The 16,888-nt window shown below is 39.4% G+C and overlaps 1 long non-coding RNA gene across 1 annotated transcript; it reads right to left on the minus strand.

Moving 5' to 3' along the window:
- Positions 1 to 931: 931 nt before the first annotated feature.
- LOC107986238 (uncharacterized) lies at positions 932 to 4,963 on the minus strand. The gene is made up of 2 exons (XR_001741526.1): positions 4,814 to 4,963; positions 932 to 2,212 (listed from the first exon to the last, which is right to left on the minus strand). It is a non-coding gene; the product is annotated as an uncharacterized LOC107986238 (long non-coding RNA).
- Positions 4,964 to 16,888: the final 11,925 nt, after the last annotated feature.

A 16,888-nucleotide genomic window follows, 5' to 3' on the forward strand; every position in this document is an offset into this window, starting at 1 on the left:
ATGTGACAATTTTGGGGGAGGTGTGAGAGGGTATGTGAAAAATTATCATAGTTCTAAGAGTCAAAACCATATCAATAAAAAGTTAAACCAAAAGAAGTTTTACTCACATTTATCCCTACTACCCTGTTCACATTTCCTAGTTTTTTTATTTTTATTTTATTTACTTTATGTATTTATTTATTTTGACAAGGTCTCTCTCCGTCACCCAGATGGCATGCAATGGTGCCATCATCGCTCACTGCAGCCTTGAAATCCTGGGCTCAAGGGATCCTCCCTCCTTAGCCTTCTGAGTACCTGGGATTTCAGGTGTGCACCATCACACCCAGCTAATTATTTTATTTGTTGTTGAGATGGGGGTCTCTTCATGTTACCTACTCTGGTCTCAAACTCCTGGCCTCAAGCAATCCTTCCACCTCAGCCTCCCAAAGTGCTGGGATTACAGATATGAGCCACCACCTTTGGCCTCACATTTCCTGATTCTTTCAACCCACCTCCCACCCACAAATGTAAATGAAAGTCGTTGCCATTATTTTATGACCTATTATTTTTGGAACAATTTTTTTTTCTTTGAGATAGAGTCTCACTCTGTCACCCAGGCTGGAGTGCAATGGCACAATCTCGGCTCACTACAACCTCCGCCTCCCAGTTTCAAGTGATTCTCCTGCCTCAACCTCCTGAGTAGCTGGGATTACAGGCGCTCACTACCACGCCCAGTTAATTTTTGTATTTTTAGTAGAGACGGGGTTTCGTCATGTTGGTCAGGCTGGTCTCAAACTCCTGACCTTGCGATCTGCCCACCTCGGCTTCCCAAAGTGCTAGGATTACAGGCGTGAGCCACCGCACCTGGCCTATTTTTGGAACAATTTTTAAAACATATATGTTTATAATTCACATGGTAAGGAGAAATGAAGTGAAATGAAGGGAGAACTGGAAGCTTTCATACATTTTTAAGGGCATATACAAATTTGTAAAAATATGTCAAAGCAAATCTGTCAATATATATATCAAAAGTCATAACAGACAGCCCCCTCTTCTGGTCTTTATAGGTGTTCAGCAGGGATAGGCCTTCTCTAGTTAGTATAGCCTTGGATTTTGGAAGGGCTGCCTGATGATGACTCAGGGCAGGCAGAGCTTGTTGTGGATTTTTCTGGTTGCCTTTTTTCTAATGTTGGGTGGGTTTGCTCTCTGGGCCCCTTCCTGCTGAGGCCACTGGCTGGGCTCTGCCACCAGGCGGAGCTCCTGGCTGGGTACTGTGATGGTTTGTGGTCAGGTGGGTCAAAAGATGTGTTTTCTGGCTGAGCAGTTCTGCGATTTGAGATCTGCAGTTAGGTGGGCTGCAGGCGGGACCCCGAAGTTAGGCAGAGTCAGTGCTAAGGACGGAAGGGCCAGATGCTATGCTCTTTAGAAATGCACGATTGAGCATTGCCTCCCTGTAAGGGAGGAGTCGTGGGGTGGGCTTTTGACTGAGTTCATTGGCTGTTTAACCTCCCTGGTGAAGCAGGTCTAGCCTCAGCGTCTCTCTGAATGCCTTGGCAAGTGGACATTTTGGCTGAGTGGAGCTGCTGCTTGAATTCCCCAGTCAGTCAGGTCTAGCTCCTGTGCTTCACCAAAATGGGCAGAGGCGGACATCACCCTCCCTAAGCGGGGTTTGTGGGGTGGACTCCGAGGCTGGGCGTGCAGACTAGTCATCTAGGGACTCAAGTGGGTTGAACTTCCCACCGTGCTTCTGAAGGCGACCGGTCCAACTTTGGGGATGGGCTGGGAAGTTGGCTGATATCTCCAGTCGGGTGGTACAGCTGGCAGGAGTATGGAGGTGCCACCAAGTTCCGCAGGCTGGGGAATATGACTTCTGCCTCCCTTCTTCGTTTTTACCTGACCCTAGGCAATGGAGCAGTGCCCTTACCCGCAGTGTTTCTCTGATTTGAGACTGGAGGGGTCTTCCTGGGAAGCGTTTCAAAATGCTAGGGAAGCTGAGTGACTGCTTCCACTTCTCTCTTCCCCTGTGGAAACCGTAGGTCCAGGGAAATCCTCTCCTGGGGTGGTGCCAACTTGGGGAGCGGCAGGGGCAGCGTGGTCAGTGTGATACCGTTCTTACTCTTACTCTTCTAATTTGGTTTTCATTCATTTCTGCAGGCCATGCAGGTGTCTCAGGCTTGTTTCAAAGTATTTCAAATAGATATTCTGGTCTGTGGATAGTTGCTAGATGAACTTTCTGTGAGGAGGGAAGTGGAGCTTGAGACTTCCTGTTTCACTATCTTGCTCAATGACATAAATTTTTTTGAAATTATGATTTCTATAATATTAATTTATTCAATCAAAAAGAGGAGCTCCATTACAGTTTTACTACTATTTAAAAAGTGACATAATTCTAAAAAGCAATCATAGATTTTAAAACATGTAAAAAGCCTTTGTATTTCACAGTGTGTATTAATGCAGCACATATACACAGACAGACCAATCCCAAATAGACCCAACTTTTTATGTGAATGTAGTATACGATAAAGATAACATGGCAATTGGCAGGGGAAAAAAATGGACTTTTAAGCAAATGTAACTAGGAGCATTGGACAATGTATTAATTAGCATTTTCTGTTAACAAACCAGCTCCAAACTTATTTTAAAATGTGGTGGTTTAATTGAAAAATTTATTATTACTCCAAAGCCCAAGTTTCAAGTGGAAAGCTTTATTGATCAATTAAAGTCAGATAAGAAAGATCATGGGTCTGAAGTCATTAGTGGGTCATTAGAAAATCATGGGAGGAAATGGCCCCAGTCTCATATCTGACAGAGTGTGGAAAACTCGTAACTATGACTCAAAATCCATAAACAATAAAAAAGAGTGACAAACTTGACTGTATGGTTGAAACACAGAAATAAATAAAATGTTTGAAAATCCAACTTTTCACAAGCAACATCAAAAGGTAAATTGAAAACTGGGGAAATATTTATACATATTGTATAGATAAAGTGCTATCACTTAATATGTCTATAAGGTTTTATTAAAAAACAGGAAGATAAAACCAACAATGGAATAGAAAAATGAACAAAAGCTCTGACTAAACTGCTCACAGAAAAGAAAATACAAACAACATTTGCACTTATAAATTCTGCTTCACTTTACTCCTAAAGAAAATGCAAGTTAAAACTATACTCTGCTGCTATAACTCATATCTCGGATGCTTGGAAAAAATCCAAAACTTTGGAAACATACTCCATTCACAAAGCTGTAGGGAAAAGGAACTCTTACATATTGTTGTACTTTATTTAGTTAACTTTCTATTTATTTTGATCTGATGTCTTCAATTCTTTTTCTTTTATAAAGAATTTTATAATAAATAAGTTTATGGACAAATTATTAGTTATTTTTGCAGCGTTTCTTTGGGATAGATTCTTCCACGTGAGAATGCTGAGGCAAAGGTAAATATACACATAAATTGCTAAATACCGCTAATTCAACTTTGTAGGGTTTATACCATTTTATATTGCTACCAGCAATGTATTTAAATTGTACACTTTATATTTTTATTCAAAAATTTAAAGGGGAGGAGCGCACTGCAACATTAACAAGAAATAGAAACAAAAATGAACTACATACTAAACTGTACCACATCACACAGAAAAATAAAATTGTGCCTAGTGATTTTGAACACAGAACTTCTAAATAAATACCTTACAAGGAGAAAAGAATTGTAAAAACTTAATCTTTACTCAATTTTTAATATTTTTTTCCTTCTTTTGAGATGAAGGCTCATTTTGTTGCCCAAGCTGGAGTTCAGTGGTGCGATCTCGGCTCACCGCAACCTCCAGCTCCTGGGTTCAAGCAATTTTTCTGCCTCAGCCTCCCAGGTAGGTGGGATGACAGGTAAGCACCACCATGCTGGGCTAATTTGTGTATTTTTACTAGAGACGGAGTTTCACTGTGTTAGCCAGGCTGGTCTTGAACTCCTGACCTTGTGATCCACCTGTCTCAGACTCCCAAAGTGCTGGGATTACAGGCATGAGCCAGGACGTATAATAATATTTGGTCGGGTGTGGTGGCTGATGCCTGTGGGAGCCGAGGTGGGCGAATCACCTGAGGTCAGGAGTTTGAGACCAGCCTGACCAACATGGAGAAATCCCATCTCTACTAAAAGTACAAAATTAGCCAGATGTGTGGTGGTGCATGCCTGTAATCCCAGCTACTCGGGAGGCTGAGGAAGGAGAATCACTTCAACCTGGATGGTGGAGGTTGCGGTGAGCCGAGATCACACCACTGCACTCCAGCCTGGAGACAGAGTAAAACTGTGTCTCAAAAAAAAAAAAGTAATATTTGTATTATGCTTTTTATGTGACTTGATACAGCTGGAAAAAAAGCAAATAAGTGAATCTGTTTATATTGATAAGAATCAAGATTTTCAACACAGGGGAGATGAGATATAAATATGCGACATTAATTTGAAAAAACTCAAAGTCTTCATTTGGATTGGAATTGTTGCTAAATCTCAAGGATGATAAAATTATTAATTTCTTAGTTTAAAGCAAGCTAAACGTCCAACTTATATTTCATAGTTAAGTCTCTTCTAAAAACTCCTCAGAAATTGATTTCTTGCCTCTTTTTGAATTACATCAGTGCCAAGGAAATCATTGTATCATAGATTTGGTATTAGTTCTGTGACTAAGTCCTTACTCCATCTTTCCTAGATATGACTTAGAGAATTAACTTAATCTCTCTAATTCCCTGTTGTATAAAATGGAGATAATGAAAAAAAAAATCTGCCTGACAGGACTGATTCCTGAAGGGATTGACCAGGCTGTGGAAACAATGATTTCTTACCAGCAAGCTCTTCATGACGTTGTCCAGACAAAAATCCTCCCATAAGAATCAAATTTATAAGTAGTATTGTGATTTGAGGGTATTCTGGCACATCATCCATTTAGAAAACATCGACACCCTCAGGAGTAAGAGACTATGTTTCATTAACATTTGCACAGCATGCATAGTGCCTGCCACCAAGCTCTTTCTAGATACAAAAAAGGACATGTGAACATGGTTTGTAAACTGCAAAGCACCATGTAAAGTTGGTTGTTAGTAATATTAATGTGAGCCATTTCGATTTTGTATAGTTGTAATTGCTGTAACTCTTCCTTGGTTTGACCTGAAATCTACCTCCCTGTCATTTCTACTTGTTATTCTTTGTTCTCCCTTCTGGGGTCTACTGAAAGATTAATCCCTCTCATTAAAAGGAAGAAAAATTAGGTTTTCTCAGTTAGAATAATAGAAACAGCGAGCATTTAGTCCTGGCTTTGATATGAATTATTTTATTAAATAAATCAACTTGTACCCCTTACCCACATGCATACAAGAGCAGCCTTACTTACTCTTCTTTTCTTTTACTTGTCCTATGTTTTATCATGAACTGAACTGTCTACTGAAGAGTGACTATGATTCTAGTTGCTCAGTTACCCCAAGACTTTTCATTCCTGTAACTCTGTTACGTGGTTTATTTTGCTGGAACTATTTTCCTACACCTCCCTGTACTTTCTCTTACCTTAGCCCGATCTGATTGAATTGGCTAATATTTACCTAATGAGTTGGAAAATTGATGTTCTAACTAAAAAAATTAATCAAATTTAACAAAGCAATCAATTATATGTATATATATGTACATATATATTTTTGGCTACATTATTATAAAGATATGCTTGTGTGTTTGTGTATGCATTTATGTGTGTATAACTACATATATTAGGTCAGGGGAACACATACAGCTTATATTAAAGTCATTTGAATCAAGAGCATATTATAATTATACTAAATAAACATATTCATATCATCCTAAAGAGAGTTTAATGTTAAGTATATGTATATTTGTGATAGAAAATAAAAAAATTAAGTTACTCTTTGATTTAAGTAGAAAAAAGAGGCTTCTTTACTTGTTTTCAGTATTTCAAAGATAACTTTATGGAAAAGATTAACAGAGTACCTAATGTAGAAAAATAATTAGCCACAAATCCAAATTAACTCATCCAATGTAAATTGTAATATGAAATAATTATTTTCTTGGGTAAATAATTATTTTAAATCTTTTCAGTTTCAAGCCCTTGTGAGGAGTACATATGCAGAAGGAAAAAAAGTAATAAAATATAATTCTGACTCTCTAGGAATTCATGTTTTCTTTTTTTTTTTTTTTGAGATGGAGTCTTGCTCTGTCGCCCAGGCTGGAGTGCAGTGGCACAATCTCGGCTCACTGCATGCTCTGCCTCCCGGGTTCATGCCATTCTCCTGCCTCAGCCTCCCGAGTAGCTGAGACTACAGGTGCCTGCCACCACGCCCGGCTAATTTTTTGTATTTTTAGTAGAGACGGGGTTTCACCATGTTAGCCGGATGGTCTCGATCTCCTGACCTCGTGATCCGCCCGCCTCGGCCTCCCAAAGTGCTGGGATTACAGGCGTGAGCCACCGCGCCTGGCCCATGTTTTCAAATTACTCCAACAGTGTGTCATGAATAAGGTACTATGGGGTCCAGAGTGAGAATGTCCAACTCTGGCTGGGGAAGTTAAGGATGTCTTTACAGAAAATAGGTCACGAGAACTCATCATAAAAGAATGAATAGTGGTTTGTAAGATAGAGAAAAAGAGGTAGGTTGACCTCATCCAAAAAAACAAATCATATGATCAAAGGCAGAGACATCATGGGTGACACAAATGTCTTTGGAGACACTACAAAAAGTTGGAGTCACTGGAGCCAGATAGTGTGTGAAGAAGAAAGGATCCAGATACAACTAAAAATCACAGAAAAATGGATACCATAAAAGCAAAACAAAACAAAACAAACCAGGAATTCATTTTCACCTGGGATAAAAAATGATTGCAACTTAATGTTGAGTTGCATATTCATGATATGCTAAAATAAGACAATGCTGTTATATAATATGAAGTTCTAGGAGAACGCCGGAACAAATTTGAGAACACATCATTTTTTAAATAAAATGTTTAAAAATTGCATTATATTTGAATGAATGTATTATATATTACCTCTAATATCTACTTATCTGATTAACTGAGTATCTTCAATGTATTTACATTTTTACATTGATCACTAATTCCCAGGAGCTGTGGTCAGATGTGTAACCAGCTACTTCTTGAGCAATAGAATAGCAAAGTGATTAAATAGCTTTCTTAGATGTACATTTCTATTGTCCTCTGATACATAGCTTTTTTAATTTTAAAATGTTAGACAGAAGGCTGCAAGTAGGAAATACTTTGCTTGGAGAATGACATTCACAAGTAAGATGCTGCAGTCTTTTGTGTAAACTTCAGTGGGATTCAGTAGGTACTTGGTCTGAAGTGGCCAGGAATAAGATATAAATATCCTTGTTTTTGTTTCTCAAACAACAAACTACACTGGCAGAGACACTTCTCATGAGTCCAGAGATCAATGAGTATTAGGGGATACTGCTGGAAAATGAACAGGTTACCAGTTCTTTGGGACATGACTTCAAATCCTTACCCAGTCTCAAACTTTATAATTCATAAAAAATGCCTTTCCCTAAGAACAGGCTTGTCTCGTGCTTCCTTTTCTAAGACTTCATGGTAATTTTGTTTTGCTTTTTGAAAGAGAGTTTCTGTTTGTAGTAGATGGATGGGAACTAGAGTAGGGTACTAAAAAGAATATATATATATATGGAGAGAGAGAGAGAGAGAGAGAGAGAGAGAGAGGAGCTTATTAGGAGTATTGACTCACACTATCACAAGGTGAAGTCCCACACTAGACCATCTGCAAACTGAGGAGCCAGGAAGCCAGTCCAAGTCCCAAAACCTCAAAAGTAGAGAAGGCAACAGTGCAGCCTTCCATCTGTGGCCAAAAGCCCAAGAGTCCCTGGCAAATCACTGGTTTAAGTCCAAAAGTCCAAAAGCTGAAGAACGTAGAATCTGATGGTTGAGGGCAGGAAGCATCCAGCACGTGGGAAAGATGAAGGCTGGAAGACTCAGGGTCTGTTTATCCCACTTTCTTCTACCTGCTTTATTCTAGCCATGCTGGCAGCTGATTAGATGGTATTCACCCAGATTGAGGATGGGTCTGCCTCTCCCAGTCCACTAACTGAAATGTTAATTTCCTTTGGCAACACCTCACAGACACACTCGGGTACAATACTGTTCACCCTTCAATCCAATCAAGTTGACACTCAATATTAACCATCAAAACAACTTTAGCAGCAATTATTATTGCATACCAAATATCCATGTTCTTCTATTTGTTTTTCAGTCCTTTTGCCTCTAGATTATGTCACAAAATTAGTTATCTCAATCAAATATGAGAAGTGATGTGTCATTTCCTGTCTGAGGACATTAAGAATGTATTTAATATTGGCTCATCCTCATTCTTTTTTTCGTGTGTGTGTGGAAACAAGTACTGCATGAGGGTGAAGCTTTAAGATGTGAGTTAGCATGCATTCTTGCATCTACTTTCAGCAGCTTGTATAAGAAAACCCCAACCTGCATCTTAGTGTGATGCGAGTGAGACATAAAACTTTGTTTTGTTTAATCCCTGAGATTGTTGCTGCAGTATAGTTTATACTTACTAATATACCCAAAAGAAAATAATTCCAAAATGTCGAAAAAAATGCATTCTTGTATGTAACCTCTTGATTCTTCCATTATGAATTCCACCCACAAGAATTCATTCATTTGCTCATTTTGCAGGGCATGAACTGAGCTGAGGCTTATCAAGTTCCTTCTATGAGTCAGTACGCACAATTAATGGTGTGATCAAGGAGCCTTATTTATTTAGAACTCTAGAAATAATTTTGAGAAATAAAATATCTGTTTAAGAAATCATTTGTGAATATTACGATAAGGAAATGCACATGTCTTATTACCATACTAAAACTCTATTAAATCAATGTATGTATAGGATAAAGATTTGAGATAAATAAGAGTTAAAAAGCCTTCAAGCCGTTAGGAACCAAGTGAAAATTTTTAAAAAGTGTCACATACTCAATAGATGTCCACAAATCTCTCTCTATCTGTATGCCACTGGCAGTATAATTAGGTCATTATAGATACCAATTTTAAAGTCAAACGAAACTAATTTTGAATTTTGACCCTATTACTTATTGCTGGAAGACCCTGAGTAAAGTTCTTAATTTACCTAGCTAACCCTGCTTACTTTAATTTAATGGGTTCACAATAGCTTAATTTAATTTCTAGGGTTAGTGTGAGGATTCATGAGGTGATGTCCGGAAAGTGATTAGGACAGTGCCTGCATATTTAAAATGCAGAATAAATGATATTAGTAATGTTGTCATATTATTATTATGTCTTTTTGAAATAGCCTTATATATCTCTTTTTATGTGAATCATGAAGGTTGGAAGACAAAACAATTTACTTTTAATGTTGAATTTCTACATAGTATGTTTTTAGTATAGAAAAGTATTTATGATGTAGGATTTTTCTTCTTGGTCACTTTGCAATCCAGGGATCCCCAGCCAGCAACACCCTGCCCGGCCCATTCTCAGCCATGCTGGTGTGCCCCAGCTGGCCTGTGTTGTAGTGAGTACCTGCATTCATCAGTTGCCAGGCTCTTGTATTGCTCCCAAGAACAATGAGTACACACTGGACATTGAATGAGGAGGAGGGCAGAGAAGAAATTTCAGTGACAGAACAGCTCTCAGTGCAGGGGGGATTTTGGGGTGGGTCCCCACCCCCACAGTTGGGTAGTTCTCTTCTCTTATTGACTGAGTCTGGGGTCTTTATAGGCACAGGATGGGGGGAGTGCATGCTGATTGGTTTGTGAGTATGCAAAAAAGGTTAAAGAGAAGACACCACTCAAAGTGAAGACACCACCTCATTAGAATAGGGATAAAGACTGATCTTAACTGCTTCCTGCTGACAGGGGGTACTGTTTTGGGAAAACCACAGTCAGATTTCCCTCAGAGACCTATCTAGGGGTCCCAGTAAAAGGCAGCCATTGTTTGAGGCTCCGGTTGCCTGACTGTTTGGAGTTTGATGGCTTGAAGGTGAGAAGAGACAAACCAGGTTATTAGAAGACATGTGTCCAAATGAAACAAAGGGGGTAAGGACAGCTTAAAACTCCCGAGGCTGCCAACACACCCAGATAACTGGTGGCTATAGTTATGCCTGCTAGGATTTGGGTGCATGGGGCTTGGTTTGGTTAGCTCCCTTGGACTTATTTTCCGAAAAAAACCTCTGGGTTATGGGCACCCTCTTTATTCCAGTCACCTGGTAGGTTTTGCAGGATAATTGCCCAGAACTAGAATATTGATCCAGATTTTTACATTACCTATCCCTTTTGTTTCTCTTGAACTGAAGGTGGAGATCACTGGTTAGTTCACAGGAATAAGCAGGGTTAGTCTAAAATGCAGGCAAAAACTTTGAAAGAACTAATGAGTGTAGAATTCAATGACAAGTGTATGATAAGTTTTGAAACATAATTTTTCTCTCTCCCGTCCTCATTTTTGTAAAAACAAATCATGATAGGACTGTGTTGTTTGCAAAGTAGACTTTAGCCTTACACATGGCCTGATAATTTGCATAAAGTGCAGCAAGAATAATCATCTTTCACATAGGCTTTTTAAATTGGCTTTAGTGGGACTCCGTTCAACAAGGAACCTCATAAAACTTTTTAAAGCTGAGCCCAGCTATGGGTTTGTACCCTCAAATACCTGTGAGTTAGGTAAATTCCTCTCTTCTTGAGGTCCCAATAACAAGGGCGTCCTGGGTCTGTTAGAAAGTGACATTTTTTACTCACCACAGGTTAGGAAACCTGTACAGGGACTGTGCAGACAAGGTATGTGGACAGTTTTCCCAAGGGGATTTTATTGGCTCTGCAAGTCAAGCTTGATTCCCTAAAGGAAAAGCAAACCATTCTAGTAAAAGCATTGGTAAAACAACCAGCATCTCCAATTGTTTCCTGTTGCAAAAGAAAACGGATTCTTATTGCACTGATGCAAATAACTATATGCCTAATTTGAAAATACTCACAAATAGTTTCCAGATTCTATAGAAACCAGGCAGACATAAACAAATATGCTCCACATTTTGTTACCTTACTCAATTGTAAAAAGCTGTAGATAGCTCAAAAGAAAAGTTTCATTGACTCTGAAAAACAAAACAAGGATCAGCAACATTTTAAGCAAAAACTTAAAAAGATTATTTCAGTTTTCTATTAGTTCAGTCCACTCTGTTAACTCCTGATCTTCTTGATATGCACGAACATTTCAGCCCTTCACGAGTCCTGTGTTTTCCTCTATACCAATGTCACACTCTCCAAAGTTATCACAAACCTGCATTTGAGAGCACCTGTCAAAGTCCCATAGCTGATTATAAACCATCTTGTGAAAAGGATCAAAACAAGACAACAATTGTCTGTCAGTGACAAAATGTCTTTGGGTCTTGCTCTGTCGCCCAGGCTGGAGTGCAGTGGCGCGATGTTGACTCACTGCAAGCTCCGCCTCCTGGGTTCATGCCCTTCTCCCGCCTCAGCCTCCCGAGTAGCTGGGACTACAGGCTCCCACCACTACACCTGGCTAATTTTTTGTATTTTTAGTAGCAACGGGGTTTCACCATGTTAGCCAGGATGGTCTCAGTCTCCTGACCTTGTGATCTGCCCACCTCGGCCTCCCAAAGTGCTGAGATTACAGGCATGAGCCACCACACCTGGCCTAAATCTATTTTCAGTAATCTCAGTAACATGTTATAATGGCAACATTTCACAGTTTTAAATTTTAATGTAATACCTGGTAAGTTATTTTAGTTATGTACTAGGTGCAGCTAACGTCTGACTCTTTCCAACGCAGTTATGGGCATGGTGAGTTCCATGTGACTTCAGGCCTTACCAAATTGTAAAGCAGGCAAGTTACACAGTTCTCGAAAGCCAAAGAAATAGTTTATAACATTTACCAGACCTGGTATTTGACCTGCATAATCTAGACCACATATTTACATTTTGAAGACATTTGCATTTTACCAGTAATCTTTCAAAATGCTTTTATTTTTCAGAGATTAAAGTCACATGCATTAAAAGGTATTCAAGCTTTTATTTTTCCTTCAAAAAATATTTGATCCAAGTGCTTATTTTTGGTTAGGCCAATTAGATAGAGCTCTTTTTAATAAACATCACATACATAACTCATATATGATTACACAGCCAGACAGAAGAAGATCCAGTAGTTGTAAGATTTTTCATTTGCCAATCTCCTAATTGGATTACTGGCCTCAGTCAGGGTGGAGCCCTTCAAGAAGGAAGGCTAGGAAAGCATGCAATTTCCAGGGCCTAACAAGCAGGCATAGATGGAAGACAAAAATGTATTTTGAGAGGGATCTATTCACTTTTAATTGCTGTTGTTCCATGAGGAAAACAGGTGTTGTCTTTTTTTTCCCTAAAATGGGTCCATGGTGCCCTCTCTGTTTTTCCCAGAGTCCCATGCTTTCAGAAGCTATATTAGGGCCTCTCATGTGTGCACTAAGAGTGGCAAGACAAAATGGAGAAAAGTAATTCAGTCTACGGAGAAAAAAATCTTTTCCAGAGAAACAAGATCCAAGAAGAGAAAAATCCATGAACTCTTTTAATTATTCCTATAGCTTGGATATCCACTTTTAATTATGCTGACTTTTAGCCATGGTGCTCTTTAAGAAAATCCTTTTAAATTCTGTGTTACCTTACTTTAGTCATACTAAGCTGCCAATATTTCTGACTTTTGAACTTCACCAAAAGTAATCTCACAGGTGAAACCAACAAGCCTCAACTAAGGTTATGACTTAACTGCAAGTGTACAAGGTATTTTCAAAGAGGTGGTAAGCAGTTTTTACAAAGTCTACACTCTTTAAAGGTAGCTCAGAAAAAGGAAGATTTAAGAAAGGAAGCTAGAATTTGTTCATGGAGGGGAAGAGACTCAGCAAATGAAAAAAGTAACACAGATATTAACCAGAAAGTACTAATTTTCTAAGCTAGGAATGAATCTGAACTGCCATTGTAAAATGGCAGAGACCAAAGAAAATATTGCCCTGTTGTTACAGGGTCAAGCTTCAAGCATGTAATACAAGATGGAGTCCTGCGGCAAAGTTTGTTACTAACCAGTTTGCTGGTCTGGCTTGAACAGTGGGATTATGGGGTCCTTGACCCATGTGCTATCCTAAGATATTTTTCCTTATGACAGAACCATGCAGAAAGACACACAAAGCACAAAGTACAACAGATTCAACACAGCTTAAGACTAGCCTAACAAATCTTTTTTTTCCATTAATTAAAACTTTACAGAGGATATAAACAGTGATCTTTATCATTCCTTTTGCCAGTTCGCACAGGGAGAGAGAGACCACCAGTCTGACTAGTTAAAAACTTTTACCCTTTTGCTGACATGTCAGGCTTCTGGGTTCCCTTCCCATGAACTCAATTTAAAGCCAAGCCATTTAATGTTTGGGGAAATAAACTTTTCCCAGCTTGGGGATGCATCTGAGGGGAGTGTCAGGTGGTACAGCAATGCAATTACCCATGCACAAAGGGGACAGAGGAGCAAAAAGAGAAAAGAAGGGCTTTTTGTTGTGGTTGTTGTTTCTTCAATGGAGTCCCAGTGATTCACAAGGCATTCAAGAGAAGTAAAGATTGAAGATGATAGGTTACCCATCTGGAAAGATGTCAAAAAAGATGTCTTTTAGTTCTTTTCTCTTCCCAGTGAATACCCGAGGTACATGAAGAAGAGAAAGAAATGATGTCCCCCTTCCTTATTCTGTCCTTGTATCTCCAAGTCCTGGCAACCTTGGCAGAGTGCCGCCTATGGGTGCCAATGTGGCTTTCATCCATGTTTACAGGGGGCCTAGAGGGTGGGAATTATCCACACTCACCCATATACTGCCTTTCCCCCATGCTGTCGGCAACCTTTGAGTTTCCCATCCCTCGTTTATGCCATGGATAGCAGCATGACCTCTATTCATGAAAAGGAGGGCTATTTGGCAGGAATTAGTCATGCTCACCTGCACTGTGCCCTTGACTTCCATTGTTGCCTGTGTTTGTATCCATCAGATCTAGTTTTCTCTTTTAGGGCTTCAACCCGAAGCTTGGAATTGAGTTTGGGACAAAAAGGTGTCTCCAGAGGGTGTGTGGACTCATTAAGTTAGGGAGTTTCATGAATTGAAGTCCTGGCCTAGAGAGATGCCTTTCAAAAGGAGCAAACAAACAAACAAACAAACAAACAAAAAACTCTTGCATAGAAAAGCATTCTGTATTTGCAGGCCTATGTGAACTCCTGACATGGTGGAGAAAAGAAGAAAAAGTGTAAGTGCAGGGCAGAAAAGATGCCTGGGAAGAAAATGCTGAGGCTTTATGCAAATGTGTTCTCTGCTTCCTCTTTGCCTCTAAGAATAGATGGAAACCACATTGTCCTGAATTGCATATCTGATGGCTGAGCCAAATGCTCATTTCACCCACTAATATCTCTGTAGCTTGTGCCAATGCTTTTAACATTGTAAAAGAAGACATAGGTGCCATGACAACCCCAAAATAAAATAAGGAAAATGCCACAGAAAGACTGGATTGGAACAAAGCTGACATTCTCAACCACCGAGAGCAATGGTGGTGGGGAGAAGGGAAGTGTTAGGGTCCTCTCCAGGATCCTGTCCTCTGTAGCTGGGCCACTCATTCTTAATTGGCTCACCAGAGGTTCGGCTCTTCATGTGCCTTCAGAAATGTCTGAGGACAATAAGCCTTGAAAAAAAAGTGAAGAGTCTAGGTCTGCATTTGTTCCCCCTTCAGGTATCCTGGGTGAGCCCCCAAAATGATGTAGGATTTTTCTTTTCAGTCACTTTGTAAGCCAGAGACCCCTGGTGGTGATGCCCAACTCGAGCCATGCTCAGCCATGCTGGCATGCCCCAGCTCATCTGTGGTATTGCTTGTGCCCACATTCAGCGATTCCTGAGCTCTTATACCATGACCAAGAAGAATGAGAATATACTGGACATTGAAGCATGAGGAGAATAATTTTATTGAGTGATGGAACAGCTCTCAGTGCAGAGGGGATTTGGGGGGTGGTCTACCACCCCCACAGTTGGATGGTTCTCTCCTCTTATCAACTGAGTCTGGGGTCTTTATAGGAACAGGGTGGGGAGTGTGTGCTGATTGATTTGTGAGTATGCAAAAAAGGTTAAAGTGAAGGCACCACTCAAAGGTGGGCATGACAGTGTAGATAACCAATTACAAAAGGGTAGGCATATATGAAATAGGTGAATGGTGGGGATAAATCAGGGGACAGCACACTAACTGGGAAGACAAGTTCTCAATTTAGTCCAAGGATTAACATGCAGCTTGGGTTTCAGCCTTTGAACTCTTTTCAGCTTGGAGGTGGGGATTCACTGGGTACTCACCCTTATCTACCTAGGCATTTGGCTGCCTCCTGTTACCATTATTTATGATTGCTTTACTAGAAAAAGAAATGAAATACCTTAGAAGATTTTGGTAACTATTAAATTATGTAATTCAGCCAGGCGTGGTGGCTGACGCCTGTAATCCAAGAACTTTGGGAGGCCGAGGCAGGTGGATCACGAGGTCAGGAGTTCAAGACCAGCCTAGGCAAGATGCTGAAACCCTGTTTATACTTAGTATACAAAAATTAGCTGGGCATGGTGGCGGATGCCTGTAATCCCAGCTACTTTGGAGGCTGAGGCCGAGAATTGCTTGAACCTGGGAGGCAGAGGTGGCAGTGAGCCGATATTGCACCACTGCACTCCAGCCTGGATGACAGAGTGAGTCTCCGTCTCAAAAAAAAAAAAAAGTTAAATCATATAATTCATAATAATTATTAAATTACTAGCACATAAAAACCACTTACAAAAAATGTCCCTAAATAACTCTGATTCAATCACAGAACCTTTATTGAGCACCTACTTTGTTTGTGACTAGGGATATAAAAGTAAATGAGACACAAACACCTTGAAATACAATTGTTATATTAGTCGTAATGATCCAACCTTTCCTTCATTACATCAGGCATTTTTGCAGCTCTGTGCCTTTGTTTAAAAGGAACATTATTTTTCCTTTTTTCACTTTGTTAACATTTTACTAAACCCCAATTCTATAAGCGCAAGCCTACATATCATTTTTAGAATTGGAATACTCTGAACTCAACTCAACCATATTTTACTTATTTTTTATTCACAATATATAGCATGCCTTTTCTCATTCAGTAGATGACTGTTTAACAAATGAATGAATGAACAAATATTTAAGTCAATAAATGAAGGCAGTGTATTAACTCTTGCAGTTGTAATTCTAGTAGGCAACTGATACAACAGGCTCATATATATGTGCTGTAGTAGGACTTTAGAGAGCAAAAAGTTGCATTTCCCTAATGTACAGTCCCAAATAATGTTTGTTTCTGTTTGAAAACTTTCTTTATTCTCCAGAGCCTACCAAGTTAAGAATATTCTCCATGGATATTCATATTATTGCCCCACCTAACTTTTTCTAAACAATTGTACAACTCCCTTAAATTTATACTGTACTCTATTCATATGGTACTAAATAGCATTTCCCTCAATTTGAAACCAACCCAATATTCTCATAAACAGCTTTTTTTAGATAAATATAGAAATCGATTATTTTGGTCGAAAAGCTTGAAACATATTGGTTTTGTCTGAGTCCCTTCCTCAGGAAAGAATCCAAGTCCTCTCAAAAAGTATGAAAGAACTGAGACTCATCAGATTATTGCATCCAGACAATGAGAAACCAAGCCTCTCATTCATCATGATGACTTCTTTCCTTACCACCCCATTTCTGTTTTCCCATGCTAGTTACATTCCTTTCCTGCTATATAAACCCCTAATTTTAGTCAGTCAGGGAGATGGACTTGAAGCTGATTTTCCATATCTTAGGCTTCATTCAGCACCCAATTAAAGC

The sequence above is a fragment of the Homo sapiens genome, chromosome 4 (assembly GCF_000001405.40).
Source record: "Homo sapiens chromosome 4, GRCh38.p14 Primary Assembly".
In the NCBI taxonomy this organism is placed as follows: Eukaryota; Metazoa; Chordata; class Mammalia; order Primates; family Hominidae; genus Homo; species Homo sapiens.